Source organism: Homo sapiens, chromosome 17, assembly GCF_000001405.40.
Source record: "Homo sapiens chromosome 17, GRCh38.p14 Primary Assembly".
Lineage (NCBI taxonomy): Eukaryota > Metazoa > Chordata > Mammalia > Primates > Hominidae > Homo > Homo sapiens.
This window is the reverse complement of record NC_000017.11, coordinates 82716518-82735437: the sequence shown is the minus strand read 5'-3', so window position 1 is coordinate 82735437 and position 18920 is coordinate 82716518. Positions and strand designations below refer to the sequence as shown.

The following is an 18920-nucleotide window of genomic DNA, read 5'->3' as shown; positions in this document are numbered from 1 at the left end:
CGCGCAGCTCTTCGCGGGCGCGCTGGGGCTTGAGCTCCCTGCAGGGACCCGGTATCCCTGCCCCGCAGCGGACGCAGGTCCGGCCCTCGGCCCGGGCGCTGGTCACAGGCCTGGCCGGCTTCCCACACTGCAGACCAGGCCGGGCCCAGCGGCCCCCGTGATGACGTGGGGCTTGCGCACTGGGACGCCAGGTGCCGATCGGAGAGAGAGGCTGACGTGGGGGCTCCGATGGCACGCGCTGACCCGGCCCAGGGTGGGGCTGCTGATTCCAGGATGTCCTGGGAAAGGGACTTGAGACACAGGAATGCCCACGCGCGCCCATGCATGCATACACGTGGGTACACACGCGTGCACACGAGCAGGTGCGCACCTGAGCCCAGTCCGTGCTGAAGTCATTTGACGTGAGGTTTTTTTATTGTTTGTTTTTTGTGTTTTTAAGAGATGGAGTCTCTGTCTCCCAGGCTGCAGTGCAGTGGCGCGATCTCGGCTCACTGCAAGCTCCGCCTCCCGGGTTCAAGCCATTCTCCTGCCTCAGCCTCCCGAGTAGCTGGGACTACAGGCGCCCGCCACCACGCCCGGCTAATATTTTTGTATGTTTTAGTGGAGACAGGGTTTCACCCTGTGAGCCAGGATGGTCTCAATCTCCTAACCTCGTGATCCACCCGCTCGGCCTCCCAAAGTGCTGGGATTACAGGCGTCAAGCCACCGGCCCGGCCTGCCCAGCTACATTTTGTAGTTTTAGTAGACATGGGGTTTCCCCATGTTGGCCAGGTGACCTGCGTGCCTCAGCCTCCCAAAGTGCTGGGATTACAGCCGTGAACCACCACGCCCGGCCATGCATGAGGTTTTAATCAATAAATCTGTTTTTTTTAGGGCCCCAACAATTGTCTTTTCCCACAGAGATGCAGGGGTCCTGCCGCGGGGAGGGAGCCTTTGGGAGCTGCCTATCCCCGCGGTCCTGCCCACTTGCTCAGCTGGGCTGGGGTCATCGGGAGGCTCCTTAACTCCTACATCTGGCACCTCGGCCAGGATCACTGGAACCTGGGCTTAGCGGTCACTGTCAAGCAGGACATGTCCATGTGGCCTCCTGGTGTGGCCTGAGCTTCCCTGAACATGGAGGCCAGGTTCCAAGAGTGAGCACTGGGAGAGCCAGAGCTCCCAGAGAGCTGGCAGAAGCAAAGGCCTTTTCTGACCTGGCCTCAGAAGCCACACACCATCATTTCCACCTCCTTCCATCGGTCTCCAAAGCCGCAATCAAGGCAAGGGGATCCGCAGCCACCTCTTTTTTTTTTTTGAAACAGGGTCTTGCTCTGTCACCCAGGCTGAAGTGCAATCTCGGCTCACTGCAACCTCCACCTCCCGGGTTCAAGCGATTCTCCTACCTCAGCTTCCTGAGTAGCTGGGATTACAGGCACGCGTCACCACGCCCCGCTAATTTTTGTATTTTTAGTAGAGACGGGGTTTCACCATGTTGGCCAGGATGGTCTCAAACTCCTGGCCTCAGGTGATCCGCCTGCCTCAGCCTCCCAATGTGCTGGGATTACACATGGCACCCGGCCAAGCAGCCACCTCTTGACAGGAGTGGCAGGGCTGCCGCAGAACAGCAGGTAGGACAGGAGGATGACTGTGGTGTCTGCAGAAAGGGCATGTGCCAGTCCCTGGCTTTTTCTCATCTGAAGCCCACCCTGCTATCGCATCTTGACAGAAGGTTCCTGACAGGCCAGTGTGAGCTCTCGTACGTCTGTAAATTTCTTTCTTCCTAGTTGACAGTTTGGCTGGGTATCAAATTCCAGCTTGGAGATCAGACCATGTTCTTTAGGAACCAAGAAGCTGCCAGCTCCAGTTTTGATGTTGAGAAGCTTATGGCCATTTCAGTTCTTATTCTTTGTGTGGAAACTGTTCTATCTCTGCAGGCTTTTAGGGTCTTCTCTGTGACACCAGTGAAAAATTCCCCAGGGAGGTGTCAGGGTGAGTCTCCTGTCATCCCCTGAACAGGACTGGTGGGTCCTCCAATCCTGGGACAGCTTTTAGCCCTTCATGGCGTTCTCCCTCTGTATTCTTGGTTCTCTTTTTTGGAATTCCAACACTGTGGTCTAGAGTCAGTCCTCTCTGTTACTGCCTCAAAGCCCCTTGTAATTTTTCTTCATACAACTCATGAGTCTACAGTCAGATATTAGGCGTCACACAGAGAACCATACGAGTGCTCAGGTCTCTCAGTGAGAAGAGGTGCCTGAATGAAGAAACAGATATGCAGGCACCAGGCTAGGAAGTCCTCTATGTGGGGGGTTAAGAGCTGTTGAAGATTCAAGGGCAGGGCAGTTAAGTGATCCCAAGTTTCTTAGAGAATTAGTAGAGTAAATTGTATGGTGTGCAAATAATACTGTTTTTAAAACGACCTGTATCGGCTGGTTGCAGTGGCTCATGCCTGTAATCCCAGCTCTTTGGGAGGCCGAGGTGGGTAGATCACAAGGTCAGGAGTTCAAGACCAGCCTGATCAACTTGGTGAAACCCTATCTCTACGAAAAATACAAAAAAATTTTAGTCGGGCATGGTGGCACACACCTGTAATCCCAGCTACTTGGGACGCTGAGGCAGGAGAATTGCTTGAGCCTGGGAGTGGAGGTCGTACTGAGCCGAGATCACGCCACTGCATTCCAGCCTGGGTGACAGAACAAGACTCCGTCACAAACAAAACAGAACCTGCCCTCTGTCCGGTTTCCCGTTCTGGGAGTGGTACCACCCATCTTTTTCCCCATCTGCCTGGATGTCTTAGTACAGGGCCTGGTCTGCGGTGCTGGTCAGGTGTCGGGGCCACCCATGCTTGTGATCCTACCATCAGCCCAGAGGAGAGGCGTGGACGGAGTAAAGGTGGGATGTGGACCTCAAGCTGGAGGAATCAAGGAGGACCCAAGAAAGGGGCCTGGCACAGACATGGGCAGGGTGTGGGGAGACCACAGGACAGAGCTGAGCCTGGCTACAGAGCTGGCGCCACCCAGGCCTGGGGTGTGGGCTTGATGAAGGAAGTCTGAGAATGATATCCTAACCTCACCCACCCTCCCCATCTCCTCTCGGCTCCCCTGGGCCACCCCAAGCAGAGGCCAGCTGGTTAATGGAGTGGTTCAGGCAGAGGCGTGGATGGGTGGAGGTGGGATGTGCAGACGTGGCACAGGCTTCAGTGAAATACGTGGACAAGCCGGTGGCACTGCTCCCTCTCTCTCACCACCCTGTCCTGGCCCCTCCATGGCTCCTGGGCCTTTGCCCTTCTCACAGTCCTGCTTACCCACTCACAGGAAAGCCCCCGCCAGCCCTCTCCCTGCTGCCTGGAATTCCCCCTCCAATATACCCCTTACAGTGCACCCCTACATCATCTTTCCAAGATACAGGTCTTCCCCACCCCGAGATGGAGTCTTGCCCTGTCTCCAAGTTGGAGTGCAGTGACACGATCTCGGCTCACTGCAACCTCCGCCTCCCGAGTTCAAGCAATTCTCCTGCCTCAGCCTCCCGAGTAGCTGAGATTGCAGGCGCACGTTACCACGCCCAGTTAATTTTCATATTTATGGTAGAGACAGGGTTTTGCCATGTTTGCCAGGCTGGTCTCGAACTCCTGACCTCAGGTGATCCGCCCACCTCGGCCTCCCAGAGTGCTGGGATGACAGGCGTGAGCCACTGCGCCTGGCCGCTTTAGGCGCACTTTCATTAAAAGGATGAAAAGTAAAACGCTTTGGGACAGAAGGCTTGTCTTCAGGTATCTAAAGATTCACTTCTGTGGAAAAGCTGACGCTCTGACTGTGTTAGATTAGGTGTTTTGATATAATCCCACTTACAGTAAGAAATAAAAAGTGGAGCCACATTGCCCCCAAGATCCCAAAGATGAGAACTGAGAGTCCTGGATGGGAGCTCAGGGCAACTACCATTTCCCTGGACTTCCTCCCCGGAGGTCCTAGCGATGTTCACGGCTGCCCAAAGAGAACAAACCTCTTCCAGCTGTTCCCTTGACCGAGGAGTCTCGGAGCTGTGTCCAGAGCCCAGTCCCTCTGTGCTTTCAGATGTCAACACAGCAGCCTGCAAGGACATAGCACACAGCTGTCCCTTAAAACCATGTCTCCAGGCCGGGCGTGGTGGCTCACGCCTGTAATCCCAGCACTTTGGGAGGCTGAGGTGGGTGGATCACGAGATCAGGAGTTCAAGACCAGACTGCCCAAGATGGTAAAACCCCATCTCTACTAAAAATACAAAACAAAATTAGCTGGGCACGGTGGCAGGTGCCTGTAATCCCAGTTGGGAGGCTGAGGCAGGAGAATCGCTTGAACTCGGAGGGTGGAGGTTGCAGTGAGCCAAGATGTCACCACTGCACTCCCAGATGTCCTGGGCGATAGAGTGAGACTCCACCTCAAAAACAAAAAACAAAAAACTATGCCTCCAAATCAGAACCTATCCCCTCCCCCATCTCTTCCAGCTGAGCCAGCCCAGAAAACAGCACAGCTTTGGATGAGAAGTTCATCCTCTGATGACATGCATATGGTCTCTCATGGACAGAATAATCCAGAAGAATCAACTCTGAGTAGATGCAAGGGCATCTATTGTGCCTGAAGCCTATAGGATTTTGATAGCCCTTTATGAAAAAGTGTGTATATATAAAAATATATAACATGCATATATTATAATAATACAAAATTAGATATTTTAGAATAAGCATTGCATCAACTTACAAATTTAAAATGCTGACACGGGGCCAGATGCGGCGGCTCACACCTGTAATCCCAGAACTTTGGGAGGCCGAGGTGGGCGGATCACTTGAGGTCAGGAGTTCGAGACCAGCCTGATCAACATGGTGAAACCCCATTTCTACTAAAAATATAAAAATTAGCCAGGTATGGTGGCAGGTGCCTGTAATCTCAGCTACTGGGGAGTCTGAGGCAGGAGAATCCCTTGAACCTGGGAGGCGGAGACTGCAGTGAGCCGAGATCATGTCACTGCACTCCAGCCTGGGTGACAGAGTGAGACTGTCTAAGAAAAATTAAAATTAAATAAAAAAGAAAATAAAAAATAAAAAGCTGACACATACCGCAGCATTGCAAAATCTGAAAACTACCCACTACTGTTTACCATTTCGACACCCCCGAGACACCCCTCCTGATGGTTCCATTTGGCTGCACTCTCAGCGACGGCCTCTCACAAGGTGCAGCCCGGCAATGTCATCGAGGAAGAGAAGGCCACCGCCTCTGGAGGACCGAACCATCCTTCCCGTCAACCACTTGGGGAGGCTCTCGTCACTGGTGATGTTGTGCTGATGCAGAATGACGTCCAGGGTCCCGGGCACCTGATGCTGTGCTGAGCAGAACAATGATGTCCAGGGTCCCAGGCACCTGATGCTGTGCTGAGTGGAACGATGATGTCCGGGCCCCGGGCACCTGATGTGCTGACACAGAACGATGATGTCCCGGGTCCCGGGCACCTGATGCTGTGCTGAGTGGAACGATGTCAGGGCCTTGAGCCAAGCGGCACACGCGCCGTCGGGATGGACCTACCCGGCAGGGAGGTGAGCGGCACAGGTGCTGTCGGGATGGACCTACCCGGTGGGGAGGTGAGCGGCACAGGTGCTGTCGGGATGGACCTACCTGGTGGGGAGCCAAGCGGCACACGCACCGTCTGGCAGGGAGGTGAGGGGCACAGGTGCTGTCGGGATGGACCTACCCGGCGGGTAGTCGAGCAGCACAGGTGCTGTCGGGATGGACCTACCCAGTGGGGGGAGTCGAGCGGCACAGGTGCTGTCGGGATGGACCCACCCAGTGGGGGGAGTCGAGCAGCACAGGTGCTGTCGGGATGGACCTACCCAGTGGGGGGAGCTGAGGGGCACATGCGCCGTCAGGATGGACCTACCCGGCAGGGAGTCGAGCAGCACACGTGCCATCGGGATGGCGCCGCTTTGGGACGTCCCTTTTCTTGGGAACACTTACCTTCTTCCCAGGGTCAAAGTAACAAGCTGCAGTCCTGGCCAACGGGAGCAGGTCCTGTCAGGTTGGAAACTGACCACACTCACGGTCCTTCCTCACTCCACACAAAAACCAGCATTCTAAAGGAACTCGGTTCTGTTCTGCCTTCTGCTGAGGGGCCCTGACTTACAACAGAAACAAGCAAACAAGACAAGTAATCAATCCATCCCCTCCGGCCCAGCTCATGACACCCTGGGTGACCCCTCAAACACGGGTGTTTGCCAAGTTCACCAAGTGGCTTCTTCCCCCAAAGGTAATTCTACAGCTACTTTCATTCTCCCTTTAATGTCTTCCACAGGGTGAGGAAGAATGGCAGCTAGGCTGCACCTCTGGTCAAATATCACAGACAGTTCTTAGGCTAGTCCTGCTCTTTGAAGCTCTGAGCTATCCTTCTACCCTAACAAAAAGGCAAGGTTAAAAAGAGTTTTTTTTAAGAAACAATAGTTGGGTCAGGGATGGTGGGTCAGGCCTGTAATCCCAGCACTTTGGGAGGCCAAGGCAGGCAGATTCCTTGAGGCCAGGAGTTCAAGACCAGCCTGGCCAAGATGGCAAAATCCCATCTCTACTAGAAATACAAAAATTAGCCAGGTGTGGTGGCACACACCTGTAATCCCAGCTACATCGGGAGGCTGAGACAGGAGAATCCTTGAACCCAGGAGGCAGAGGTTGCAGTGAGCTGAGATCGCACCACTATACTCCAGCCTGGGTGACAGAGCAAGACTCCATCTCAAAAAGAAAAAGAAAAAAGAAACAGCTGGGAGGCTGAGGCGGGTTGATTGCCTGAAGTCAGGAGTTGGAGACCAGCCTGGGCAACATGGTGAAACCCCGTCTCTACTAAAAATACAAAAATTAGCCACTGTGGTGACACACCGACTACTCCAGCTACTCAGGAGGCTGCGACATGAGAATTGCTTGAGCCCAGAAGGCGGAGGGCAGAGGTTGCAGGGAGCTGAGATCGCACCATTGCACCACTCCAGCTTGGAAACAGTGAGACTCTGTCTTAAAAAAAAAAAAGAAAGAAAGAAAGAACAGTTGGGTCAGGCATGGTGGCTCAGGCCTGTAATCCCAGCACTCGGGAGGCTAAGGTGGGAGGATTGCTTGAGCTCAGGAGTTTGAGACCAGCCTGGGCAACATGGCAAAACCTCATCTCTACTAAAAATACAAAAATTAGCCGGGTGTGGTGGTGCACGCCTGTAGTTCCAGCTACTCAAGAGGCTGAGATGGGAGGACTGCTAGAACCTGGGAGTTTGAGGCTGCAGTGAGCTATGATCATGCCACCGCACTGCAGCTTAGGCAACAGAACAAGACCGTCTCTAAAAACAACAACAAAAACACTAGTTGTACCTGTTTGTCACAAAATATTACAAGTTTTTCAGCAAACAACTAAGATATTGAATTACAATAAATGAGGGAAATATACAATCTTGTACGTTATCGAAACCACTGGAAGTTTATTCAAATTTTTGTGCAAAGGATTTATTAGCATCAATGCCATTCATGAAATATGTCTCTTTACTACAACAGTGAAGGAAGGAAAAATATGAGTTCAGCATGTATTTTAATGTTGCAAAGGAATGACAACTCAGCAAGCTGTAGAAAATGGCAGAGGAGACGGGGTAATAACAGAAGCAATGAAGACTCCTGGATGTACCCAAGGACACCCTATGGCCAGCAGCTTGGTTTCTCCCAGAATCAGTTTACAGACTTGCTCAGCCTGCGGGAGGGCCCAGGGATCATGCAGGAAGAAAACGGAATACGCTTGATTCTGGAATTGGTCATTTTAAGACGCTTTTAGTAAGATGGTTTCATGTCTACACCCAAGTCTTGCCAACCAAGAAGCATCAACGTGAACAGCTCAGAGACATTCCTGCACAGGAGAGCAGGGAGGAGGCAGTGGAAAGGTACCTATGAGCAGCAGTGCCCGGGGGCGCTGGCCACCTCCCTGCGCACCGGATACCCTCCCCCGCACCCACAGGGGTTCACTTACAGTTTCCCCACCTTGCAGCAGCAGTGAGGCTCAGAGTCACCCACACTCCATACATCCCTCTGCTCATACCCTGCCTGTAGTGTGGCTCCGTCTACCTACAAAGCCCCACAAAGTGGACAACGCTGGGATGACAAAACCTTTCCTCTTAGATATTATATACTTTGCAAGGCTTGGAAATAAGCTACTGCATTGGTCTTAAGCTAGTCCAGCATGTGAAGAAACAAGAATTTGCCCAGAAGAGGACTGTGGAGAAACCTCTGAGGCCTCCTTCCAGAGTAAGGCCCGCTCACTTGACCAGATTCCTCATGATGTTCAGGGAGGATCCTCTGTACCCCGATCCAAAATGATTCCAGTGGTTCAAGTAGTGAAAGAGCTGATACAACTGAAGGCGCTTCTCGAATCCTGGGGCCTTGGGGATTTTGCCGTGGTAGGCGGAGTAAAAGGAGCTGCTAAAGCCCCCAAACATGCCAGCTATTGCCAGCTCATATTCCGAGTGGCCGTAGAAAGAAGCTGGGTCAAAAATCACCGGCCCAGAGGAATCCTCTGCTACGTTTCCACCCCAGAGGTCCCCGTGGAGTAAGGCTGGGATGATCTCCAGGTCACGGAACAGGTCAGGGATCTTTAACTGCAGGGAGGAAAATGGAGCCTCAGCAAATTGATCAACGCGTGCATGAGGGGCGCCGCTCCAGGTCCCCACCGCCCCCAGCCCAGGCAGCAGCGGATAGCACACCACCAGGCACCCGCTTCCCACCCAGAATCAGACTCAGAGGTGGCCTCACCTGCCTTGGTGCCTCCCCTACCTCAGGCAAGTGGGGTGTGTGGCAGGTGCTGGGCATGCAGTGGGGCCCCACTCACCTGCAGAGCAGACCAAAGCTGGAGGGCCTCCCTGTCCCCAGACTCCTTCTCCACCATGTCCATCTGGGGCTGAATGCGCTGCCGGGCATAGAACACGACCCAGTCCTCCTGCCAGTCATTCACCTGCACAGTAACAGCAAAAGCACAGTTCACTGGAAAATGCCAGAACCAAGGGAGAGCTCAGCTACCCACAAGCATCTCAAAGTGGAGAGGGCTGCAGGAGCGGCACGTGGGAGGGGTGGCAGTCACAGGAGCCTGAGGGGGGAACCACATCCCAGGAGGAACCGGAGTCTCATGGACATGCTGAGACCTCAGATCCTATCCCAAGAGCAGTGGGAAGCATGGGGATGCTTCAGGACCCACTCTGTAGCCTTCCAAGAATGAAGGCTTCTAGAACATTTTTTTTTCTTTTTCTTTTTTCTGAGATAGAGTTTCGCTCTCATTGCCCAGGCTGGAGTGCAGTGGCGCCATCTCGGCTCACTGCAACCTCTGCCTCCCGGGTTCAAGCAATTCTCCTGCCTCAGCCTCCCAAGTAGCTGGGATTACAAGCATGCACCACCACGCCCGGCTAATTTTTTTGTATTTTTAGTAGAGACGGGGTTTCGCCATGTTGGTCAGGCTGGTCTCAAACTCCTGACCTCAGGTGATCTGCCCGCTTCAGCCTCTCAAAGTGCTGGGATTACGGGCGGGCGTGGGCCACTGCACCTGGCCCTGCTCCCACTTTCTTTACGTTGTTTTGTAGCAGCTGACAATAGTTCATCAGATGATGCACCAGGACTTCACCCAGTGCTCCTCTGGATTTTCCTTGTCATAGTACCAAGAGTGGCACAGCAAATACCCTTGTGTCTGTGCCATTTTGCATACGTGTAAATATGCCTGTAGAATAAATCCTAAAGGATAATTACTGGGTCAGAGCATAAGTCCATTTAAAATTTTGAAAGGGGGGCCAGGTGTGGTGGCTCATGCTTGTACTAAAAATACAAAAATTAGCCGGACGTGGTGGTGGGCGCCTGTAATCCCAGTCACACAGGAGGCTGAGGCAGGAGAACTGATTGAACCCGGAAGCTGGAGGTTGCAGTGAGCCAAGATCGCACCACTGCACTCTAGCCTGGGTGACAGCGAGACTCCATTTCAAAAAAATAAATTAAATAAATTAAAAAATTTGAAAGGGGGCTGGGAGTGGTGAGCAATATCTGTAATCCCAGCATTTTGCGTGGCTGAGGTGGGAGGATCACTTGAGCCCAGGAGTTTGAGACCAGCCTGGGCAACATAGTGAGACCCCTGTCTCTACAAAAAAAATTAAAAAATTAGCCAAGTGTGGTGGTGTATGCCTGTAGTCCCAGCTACATGGGAGGCTGGGGCAGGAGGATGGCTTGAGCCCAGAAAGTTTGAGGCTGCAGTGAGCTATGATCATGCCACTGCTCTCCAGCCTGGGCAACAGAGAGAGACTCTATCTTTTAAAATTAAAATTAAAACTAAATTTTAAATTTTTGGCCAGGCACGGTGGCTCATGCCTGTAATCCCAGCACCTTGGGAGGTTGAGGCAAGCAGATCACAAGGCCAGGAGATTGAGACTGTCCTGGCTAACACGGTGGAACCCCATCTCTACTAAAAATACAAAAAAAAATTAGCCGGGCATGGTGACAGGCACCTGTAGTCCCAGCTACTCAGGAGGCTGAGGCAGAAGAATGGCGTGAACCTGGGAGGCGGAACTTGCAGTGAGCCAAGATCGCACCACTGCACTCCAGCCTGGGTGACAGAGCGAGACTCCATCTCAAAAAAAAAATTTTTTTTTTGATAGGCATTGCCACGTTGCTGCCCATAAAGATCGTTGTCCCAAGTCACACTCACATCACAGGGTGCCATGGGGCCTGCTCCCTCGTGCTCTGGTTGGCACACATGCAGCACACTTTTGGCCTTTACAGGTTCCATATGTAACAGAAGATATCTGACTGTACTACCTTTTAGTTTACTTTTTACTTTTTTTTTTTCTTTTTTGAGATGAAGTTTCACTCTTGTCACCCAGGCTGGAGTGCAATGGCGTGATTTCAGCTCACTGCAATCTCTGTCTCCCGGGTTCAAGCGATTCTCCTGCCTCAGCCCCCAGAGTAGCTGGGATTACAGGTGCGCACCACCATGCCCGGCTAATTTTTGTATTTTTAGTAGAGACAGGATTTCACCATGTTGGTCAGGCTGGTCTCAAACTCTACCTCACGTGATCTGCCCGCCTCGGCCTCCCAAAGTGCTGAGATTACAGGCGTGAGCCACCGTGCCCGGTCCAGAACATTTTCTTTCTTTTTCATCTTTGTGAAACAAGGTCTTGCTCCATTACCCAAGCTGGAGTGCAGTGGTGCAATCACAGCTCACTGCAGCCTTCAATTCCCAGGCTTAAGCAATCCTCCCACCTCAGCCTTCCAAGTGGCTGGAACTACAGGCACGCACCACCACACCCTGCTAATTTTTTGTATTTTTACTAGAGAGAGGGTTTCACCATGTTGGCCAGGCTGGTCTCGAACTGCTGGGCTCAAGCAATCCTCCCACCTCGGCCTCCCAAAGTGCTGGAATTACAGGCATGAACCACCAGGGCTTTTTTATTTAAAAAAAAAAATTTTTTTTTTGCTGCTAAAGCAACTGGCTAACATTTCCTCTTAATTTACAATCACACTGGAGTACTGAGGCCAGAGCTGGCTGACCTGCCCCAACCCCATGGCTCACTTCTGACATCTGTCCAGACAGCCCCTCCCCAGACAGTGATGACAGGAAAAGTCACATGGAGCCCCATTGAGAAGGACCCCGAGAAAGGACATCCAGGTCACAGGTGCTTACCACCCAGGAGGGAAGCAAGACAGACACACACGACTGGAGTAGCACACGACGCCAACATCATGCATCAGGCACACAGTCATGCGCACACACGCCTGCACACATACATGTGCGCGCACACGCGTACACACATGCACACACGTGTGCACACATACACATATGCACACATGCGTGCACATACACATGCACACATATGCACACACATGCACACACATACACATATGCGCACAGACGTGCGTGCACACAAATACACATATGCACACACACACATGCACACACACACTGTGAGTACAGCCACGAGACGAAGGGGCGGAGCTGGCGAAAACCCCCCACCCCCCGCCAGCAGGCAGGACCAGAGGGCACCACTCCCCGCCCCTAAGCAGGTTTCTGAACAAACTTCAACATTTCAAAGTCTTTCTACTGCCCCCGCGCCCGCCAGGAAACCCTGGCAAGTTTTCTGGGTTCATCTGTACCCTCCTCTCGAGGACAGGACAGGAGCCCTGTCCACTGCACATGTGCTGGGCGTCAAGCAGAACTCCCCAGGTGGAAATGCGGAGGGAAGCCACCATAAAATCACACAACCAAAAGTGACAAACCCTTGTCATTCCACCCTCTTTGAGAGTTTAGTATACCTAAAACATTTGTTAAATTCCCTCATTTTTACCCACCTTGAAATCCAGCTCCTAACTTGCTGGTCCTCCTCAGTTTCTTCATGCTTACCTAGCATATTAGGTGGGTCAATCTTACGTCAACCTCTCAAACATCAGCAAAGAAAAAATGGTGCAAATACTTTTACTGAAGCTCACAAAAAAAGGAGGGGGGTGTGTCCCCCCAACCCGTGTGTCTGAACAGCTGACCTGATTGTGAAATAGAAGCAAACGCCGTGCACTCACCTGGGGGAGGTATCCACAGCACGTCACCACGTCAAATCCAAACCGGGCCACAAAGGGCCGTTCCTCCTGCCCACCTCCTCTCCCTTGCAAGCAAAAGTAAAAGAAAGGAAATTAGTTCCAAGGGATCCCAGCGCCCACTCTCGAAACTGAGTCACCTTCAGACACGACCTCAGCGAGCTCCTACCAGCTTATGCCCCTGCCAGAGACAAACAGGGCCTGGGTCTCCACCAGCTCACACAACACCCCTAACAGAGCCTGCTCCAGCAGATGTCAGCATCAAAAACACTAGGAGCCTGTGGCCTCCAGCAGACGTCAGCATCAAAGACACTAGCTGCTCCCGAGCAGGGGCACCAGAGGACACACACAGGACAGGCAGCCTGCGGGCACCTCTCAGGGGACCTGTCTCACATCCCAACACGCGGGGGTGTGGGGGAAGACCACACTGTGTCAGGAAACAAAGGGGAGGATGTTCTTAAAGAGGAAAGGCACTTTGGGAGGCTGAGGTGGGCGGATCACCGGAGGTCAGCAGTTCGAGACCAGCCTGCCCAACGTGGTGAAACCCTGTCTCTACTGAACATATAAAAATTAGCTAGGCATGGTGGCAGGCGCCTATAATCCCAGCTACTCGGGAGGTTGAGGCAGGAGAATCACTTGAACCCGGGAGGCGGAGGTTGCAGTGAGCCGAGATCGCTCCATTGCACTCCAGCCTGGGCAACGAGAGTGAAACTCCGTCTCAAAAAAAACCATAAAAATGGCCGGGCACAGTGGTTCATGCCTGTAATCCCAGCACTTTGGGAGGCCAAGGCAGGTGGATCACCTGAGGTCGGGAATTTGAGACCAGCCTGACCAACATGGAGAAACCCCATCTCTACTACAAATACAAAATTAGCTGGGCATGGTGGCGCATGCCTGTAATCCCAGCTACTCAGAAGGCTGAGGCAGGAGAATCACTTGAACCCAGGAGGCGGAGGTTGCGGTGAGCTGAGATCGCGCCACTGCACTCCAGCCTGGGCAACAAGAGCAAAACTCCATTTCAAAAAAAACAAAACAAAACAAAACATAAAAAACATAAAAAGTAAAAAACAGGCCAGGCCCAGTAGCTCATGCCTGTAATCCCAGCACTTTGGGAGGCCGAGGCAGGTGGATCACGAGGTCAGGAAGTCGAGACCATCCCGGCTAACACGGTGAAACCCTGTCTCTACTAAAAATACAAAAAATTAGCCAGGCGTGGTGGCAGGCGCCTGTAGTCCCAGCTACTTAGGAGGCTGAGGCAGGAGAATGGCGTGGACCCGGGAGGCGGAGCTTGCAGTGAGCAGAGATCATGCCACTGCACTCCAGCCTGGGGAACAAAGCAAGACTCCTTCTCAAAAAAATAAAATAAAAATAAATAAATAAAGAGGAAAAAGAATCTGCCCCCAATCCATCAGAAAGGATGGCTCTCAGTGGCAAACCTGGTGCCATGTGTGTCAGATAAACTATTGTGCTTTGAAATAATCTCAGGCAGGGTGCAGTGGCTCACGCCTGTAATCCCAGCACTTTGGGAGGCTGAGGTGGGTGGATCACCTGAGGTCAGGAGATTGAGACCAGCCTGGCCTACATGGTGAAACCCCGTCTCTACTAAAAATACAAAAATTAGGTGGGCACAGTGGCATGCACCTGTAATCCCAGCTACTCAGGAGGCTGAGGCAGGAAAATCGCTTGAACCCAGGAGGCAGAGGTCACGGTGAGCCAAGATTGCACCACTGCCCTCCAGCCTGGGGGACAAGAGTGAAACTCCGTCTCAAAAAAAAGAAAGAAAGAAAGAAAGAATCTCACTCCTCTGCAGTCTCCCTAATTCAAGGAAAATCCCAATGGACTAAACTCCGTTAAGACTGGAAGAGACAGGACAGGCGACCTGGGAGGCCTCTCAGTGGATCCTCACCACACAGGCCGCCTGGGTGGATCCGTCATGGACCCTCACAGAACAGACTAACAGCATGTCTCCGTCTCCTACAGCAGGCCCCTGGTGATCTGTTCCGATCATCAGCAAATCTCCCCACATTTACCATGTGGGCTGCACACGGATTCCAAATGTCAGCAGATTAAAATACCGGAAAATTCCCTCGATCCTGACAGCGCGTTATGCTCTGGAAAGGTCAGACATGATGGCTGTAATTCTGAGCCTCAAGTATGACTGTTTTACAGGAACAGACCCTGGGTTAAAGGTCTTGCCTTTTACAGACAGCCAGAGAGCCTCTGCTTACACTCTTCTGGGGAACGAGAGGTAAAAGTAACTGTAACACTAGGGGTGTCTTGTGTCCAGCAAATGTTTTCATCTTTCAAATGCATTTAGGACACAACAGACGCATCACAGTCACTGTGTTCAGTGCACCGTGAGATGCGGCTCAAGGCCGACATTCCCTTGCTCTGCCATCAGCCCACGTCCGACCCTCCCACGGCTGCTGCACGGCCCCCGCTCTGAGCCCACACCGGCTGAACGTCCTCCTCTAGGCGGGAGCACCCGTGGCCCGCGCAGTGCCATACCCACTGTGCCCGCCTCCTTCAGGCGCATCTCTCCAAGCTTCTTGTTATCAAGGTGTAAATCGGCCAGCTGGGCTCCAAGCTTTGCAGCATGACTGTCAAATCAAACGACAGCAACTAAACAGATGACACACAGAATGGCAACACACCCACTGCTCAGTCTCAGGGCACATAAAGAGGGTCAAACTTTTTTATTTTTTTGAGATGGAGTCTCGCTCTGTCACCCAGGCTGGAGGGCAGTGGCACGATCTCGGCTCACTGCAAGCTCCGCCTCCCAGGTTCAAGCGATTCTCCTGCCTCAGCCTCCCGAGTAGCTGGGATTACTGGTGCCCGCCACCATGCCTGGCTAATTTTTTTGTATTTTTAGTAGAGGCAGGGTTTCACTGTGTTGGCCAGACTGGTCTCAAACTCTGACCTCAAGTCATCCGCCCACCTTGGCCTCCCAAAGTGCCGGGATTAGAGGCGTGAGCCACCACAGCCGGCTAGTAGGTCGGACATTTTGAGGACAGAAAGTAGGTTCTGGTGAAGCAAGAGGGGGATAAAGGTGTTGATTATTTGACGATCTTTCCCAGCCTCATCCAAGTTTGCAGTGGTTTTTTTTTCCTCTTTTTTGAGACTGAGTCTCGCTCTACTGCCCAGGCTAGAGTGCAGTGGTGCGATCTCAGCTCACTGCAACCTCTGCCTCCTGCGTTCAAGTGATTCTCCTGCCTCAGCCTCCCGAGTAGCTGGAATTAGAGGCGCCTGCCACCACATCCAGCTAATTTTTGGATTTTTGGTAGACATGGGGTTTCACCATATTGGCCAGGCTGGTCTCAAACTCCTGACCTCAAGTGATTCACCCGCCTCAGCCTCCCGAAGTGTTGGGATTCCAGGCGTGAGCCACCGCGGCCGGCGTGCAGCGAGGCCTTTGGTCAGCATCTCACTTTGGGAGATTCCTCTTGCTTCTGCCCTTGGTTGCAGAGAGTGCCTGCCGTTCATTCTGCAGAACTCATGGTATGTGGAGTCACGGGTTCTTTGCATTACACTCCTCAAAATGATGTCCCCAGTACAAGCTTCAGTCATCAGAGAACCACTTGGTGGAAAAGAAAGCCAGCTGGGGGCTGGTGTGAGGGTGCACCTGCTCAGATGCTCAGATAACAAAGCCAGCCGGGGCGGGGCATGAAGCCAGCTGGGGGGTGGTGTGAACACACACCTGCTCAGATAATAAAGCCAGCCAGTGGGTGGTGTGAAGACACACATAATAAAACAAGGTGTGAAGACACACCTGCTCAGGTAATAAAGCCAGGTGGGGGGTGGTGTGAAGATGCACCTGCTCAGATGCCTCATGTCCATGTGCTCCATCACCAGCACGCTCCCGCCGCCTGGGGCATCCAGAACCTTGATGGGCTTGGGCACTTTCACCGTGTTTGTTTTCAGGATGGCAGTTAAACTTGCCATCTCACCTTCAAACATTCTTCTGGCCTGTCAGAAAAATACGAGAGGAAGTGGAAATACAGGGAGGCAAGGTTACTTCCGGAAGGTTCTGTAGATATGTTTTCCTCTAGCATTACAACTTCAAACCAAGACTATCCTGACTGAGGATTCCATACACATGGACAGTGTTTTCAAACACACTTGCCAACAGGGTAGGCTACAGGTTCAGAGGCTGTACTGGAAGAAGAGGGCTTGAGCTTTCCAGTGTTGGACTACACTTGTGTGCTGTGGTTGAATTGGGAGGTTCTCTGGAGAGAGGAAAATCGAAGGCACTAATATTCCACTAAGATCCGGCAACAGTGGGACTGTGAACATGGGTTACCTGTCAGTGTCCTCAGACGACACCTCAACTGCAGTCCTGTTCCACCTACAGGACACAGACTCACCCGACCTCTCAGGTGCAGGCGGCACCCTGGCTGCCTATGCCAGTGACCTGGGGTCACTTTTCACCTGAAGAGACCACCAAGTTCCATGCCACCTCCTGCCCAGCACTGGAAACCACCTCATCTTGAGATGCCGTTTCCATCCAACTCCCCGGGACCACAGCAACTCCTCCCTTGGGTCCCCCTGGCTCACCACACAGCAGTGATCCCTAGAGTAGAAGTCAGAGCCAGCGGCCTTTCCTTTCCTCCTGCTACACACACCACTGCCCTGCCTGCTCTCCCATCCTCATCTGGGGCTCCACCCTTACACACACAGACACATAACACACACACACAACATATACAGACACACAACACACACACAACACATACAGACACACAACACACACAACATACGACTTACAGACACACCATACACACACAACACACAGACACACACACACAACATACACAGCAGTGATCCCCGCAGAACAGGTCAGGGCCAGCGGCCTTTCTTTTTCTCCTGAGACACACACCACTGCCCTGCCCACTCTCCCATCCTCACCTGGGGCTCCACCCTTACACACACACAGACACACAATACATACACACAACATACAAACATTACAAACATACACACATACAACGTACACACACACAACATACACATAGACACACACACTCTCCTCGTGCTCCTGACTTCCAGCTGTCTTCATCCTTCTTTCAGTTCTTCAGAGTCCCCACCTCCTCAGCCTCAGAGCCCCACCACAGCTGCCATGTCACCGCTGCTAGGAACACTCTTTTTTTTTTGAGACGGAGTCTCATTCAGTCACCCAGCAGGCTGGAGTGCAGTGGCGCGATCTCGACTCACTGCAACCTCTGCCTCCTGGGTTCAAGCGATTCTTCTGCCTCAGCCTCCCGAGTAGCTGGGATTACAGGCGCCCGCCACCACGCCCAGCTAATTTTTGTATTTTTAATAGAGACGGGGGTTTCACCTTGTTGGCCAGGCTGGTCTCGAACTCCTGACTTCGCGCTCCACCCACCTCTGTCTCCCAAAGTGCTGGGATTACAGGCGTGAGCCACCGCGCCCGGCCCGAGAATGAGTCTAACAGAAGGACAGAGCATGCCAGGGTGTGGTGAGGCGCAGCAGCTGGCCTGGGGGCAGCACCTTCGCCCCGTTTCACAACGTACTGACCGAGGCTCACGGGGGATGGACACCTCCAGAGTCACTTAAGCTGAGGACTTAAGCAGCTTCCCCGGCTAGAACGACCCCACTTAACCAGCACCGCAGGGCAGGAACCCCGGGAGCAAGACTGCAGCAGCCAGTCCCGCCCCATTTCACGTAGCGCCCCCGAGAGAAAGTTCACGGAGAACAGGAGGTGTGGGGCGGCCGCGGTTCCTGCTCCGGACAGTTCCCCGCAGGTGCAAACTCCTCCGGACGCCCCGGACGCTTCCGCCGCCCCCGTTCACCGCTCGCCCCGCGCAAAGGGTTCCCCGCAAGGGGCGGCGGCGGCAGTCCCGGGAGAGCCACCCACGGCCTCCGGCGGGAGAAGCCCAGGCCGCGCCCCGCGCCGAGGCCCGCGACCCTCTCCGGAAAGAAACCGGTCCCCCGGCCCGCCCGACCCGCTGCCTGACCTCCGCCTTGGGGTTCACTTTCACGAACACTCGTCCTTGATCCGTGTCGTAGCTCCGGCCCTGGCTGATGCACCCGCCCCCCGAGTGGCCCGTGGCCCTGACAGAGCTGCAGCCCAGCTCGCGCCTCAGGAGCTCCTCCATGTTCCCGCCGCGGCCGCGGACCCGCCCCGGATCTGGCGGAGACTCGAGAGACGGCGGCCGAGCGGGCAAACATGAGTCCGCGCGAGGATTGGGCGGGGGGCGGGTGGGGGCGGGGCCCGGCCGCAGAGACAAGCGCTAGGATTGGGTGGCGGGAAGGGGCGGGCGTGGCCGCAGAGATGAGCGCTGGGATTGAGGGGCGGGAAGGGGAGGGGCCGGGAGGCAGGTAGGCGCGGGGGAT

The 18920-nt window shown here is 53.5% G+C and overlaps 1 protein-coding gene across 2 annotated transcripts, besides 5 other annotated features; it reads right to left on the bottom strand.

Annotated features, from left to right (window-relative positions):
• Nucleotides 80-792: an enhancer, noted in NCBI's record as "H3K27ac-H3K4me1 hESC enhancer chr17:80692522-80693234 (GRCh37/hg19 assembly coordinates)". NCBI's record gives its function as "activates a minimal SCP1, AML or CMV promoter by ChIP-STARR-seq in primed H9 embryonic stem cells {active_cell/tissue: H9 hESC(primed)}" and the evidence as "EXISTENCE:reporter gene assay evidence [ECO:0000049][PMID:30033119]".
• Nucleotides 5157-5657: an enhancer, noted in NCBI's record as "H3K27ac-H3K4me1 hESC enhancer chr17:80687657-80688157 (GRCh37/hg19 assembly coordinates)". NCBI's record gives its function as "activates a minimal SCP1, AML or CMV promoter by ChIP-STARR-seq in naive H9 embryonic stem cells {active_cell/tissue: H9 hESC(naive)}" and the evidence as "EXISTENCE:reporter gene assay evidence [ECO:0000049][PMID:30033119]".
• FN3KRP (fructosamine 3 kinase related protein) lies at nucleotides 7425-18732 on the bottom strand. 2 transcript variants are annotated; one of them, NR_046408.2, is made up of 7 exons: nucleotides 18542-18732; nucleotides 16867-16994; nucleotides 16381-16532; nucleotides 15075-15166; nucleotides 12552-12634; nucleotides 8836-8958; nucleotides 7425-8605 (listed from the first exon to the last, which is right to left on the bottom strand). NR_046408.2 is itself a non-coding variant. In NM_024619.4 (6 exons), the coding sequence occupies exons 1-6, from the start codon at nucleotides 18680-18682 to the stop codon at nucleotides 8267-8269; spliced, it is 930 nt and encodes a 309-aa protein (NP_078895.2). In that variant the 5' UTR covers nucleotides 18683-18732; the 3' UTR covers nucleotides 7425-8266. The 2 variants fall into 2 exon arrangements, 1 of the variants encoding a protein (NP_078895.2); NM_024619.4 differs by lacking the exon at nucleotides 16867-16994.
• Nucleotides 18406-18495: a silencer, noted in NCBI's record as "silent region_9227". NCBI's record gives its function as "represses an Ori minimal core promoter by ATAC-STARR-seq in GM12878 lymphoblastoid cells {active_cell/tissue: GM12878}" and the evidence as "EXISTENCE:reporter gene assay evidence [ECO:0000049][PMID:35858748]".
• Nucleotides 18576-18655: a silencer, noted in NCBI's record as "silent region_9226". NCBI's record gives its function as "represses an Ori minimal core promoter by ATAC-STARR-seq in GM12878 lymphoblastoid cells {active_cell/tissue: GM12878}" and the evidence as "EXISTENCE:reporter gene assay evidence [ECO:0000049][PMID:35858748]".
• Nucleotides 18676-18915: a silencer, noted in NCBI's record as "silent region_9225". NCBI's record gives its function as "represses an Ori minimal core promoter by ATAC-STARR-seq in GM12878 lymphoblastoid cells {active_cell/tissue: GM12878}" and the evidence as "EXISTENCE:reporter gene assay evidence [ECO:0000049][PMID:35858748]".

Bases quoted from the DNA above. Each gene is read 5' to 3' on its own strand.
- FN3KRP (NM_024619.4), bottom strand. From the start codon at position 18,682: ATGGAGGAGCTCCTGAGGCGCGAGCTGGGCTGCAGCTCTGTCAGGGCC. The intron at 15,167-16,380 runs GTGCATCTTCAC...TTGATTTGACAG, and splicing joins GACATGAGGCATCTGAGCAG to TCATGCTGCAAAGCTTGGAG. The intron at 12,635-15,074 runs GTATGGCACTGC...TTTGCTTGCAAG, and splicing joins GAAGGAGGCGGGCACAGTGG to GGAGAGGAGGTGGGCAGGAG.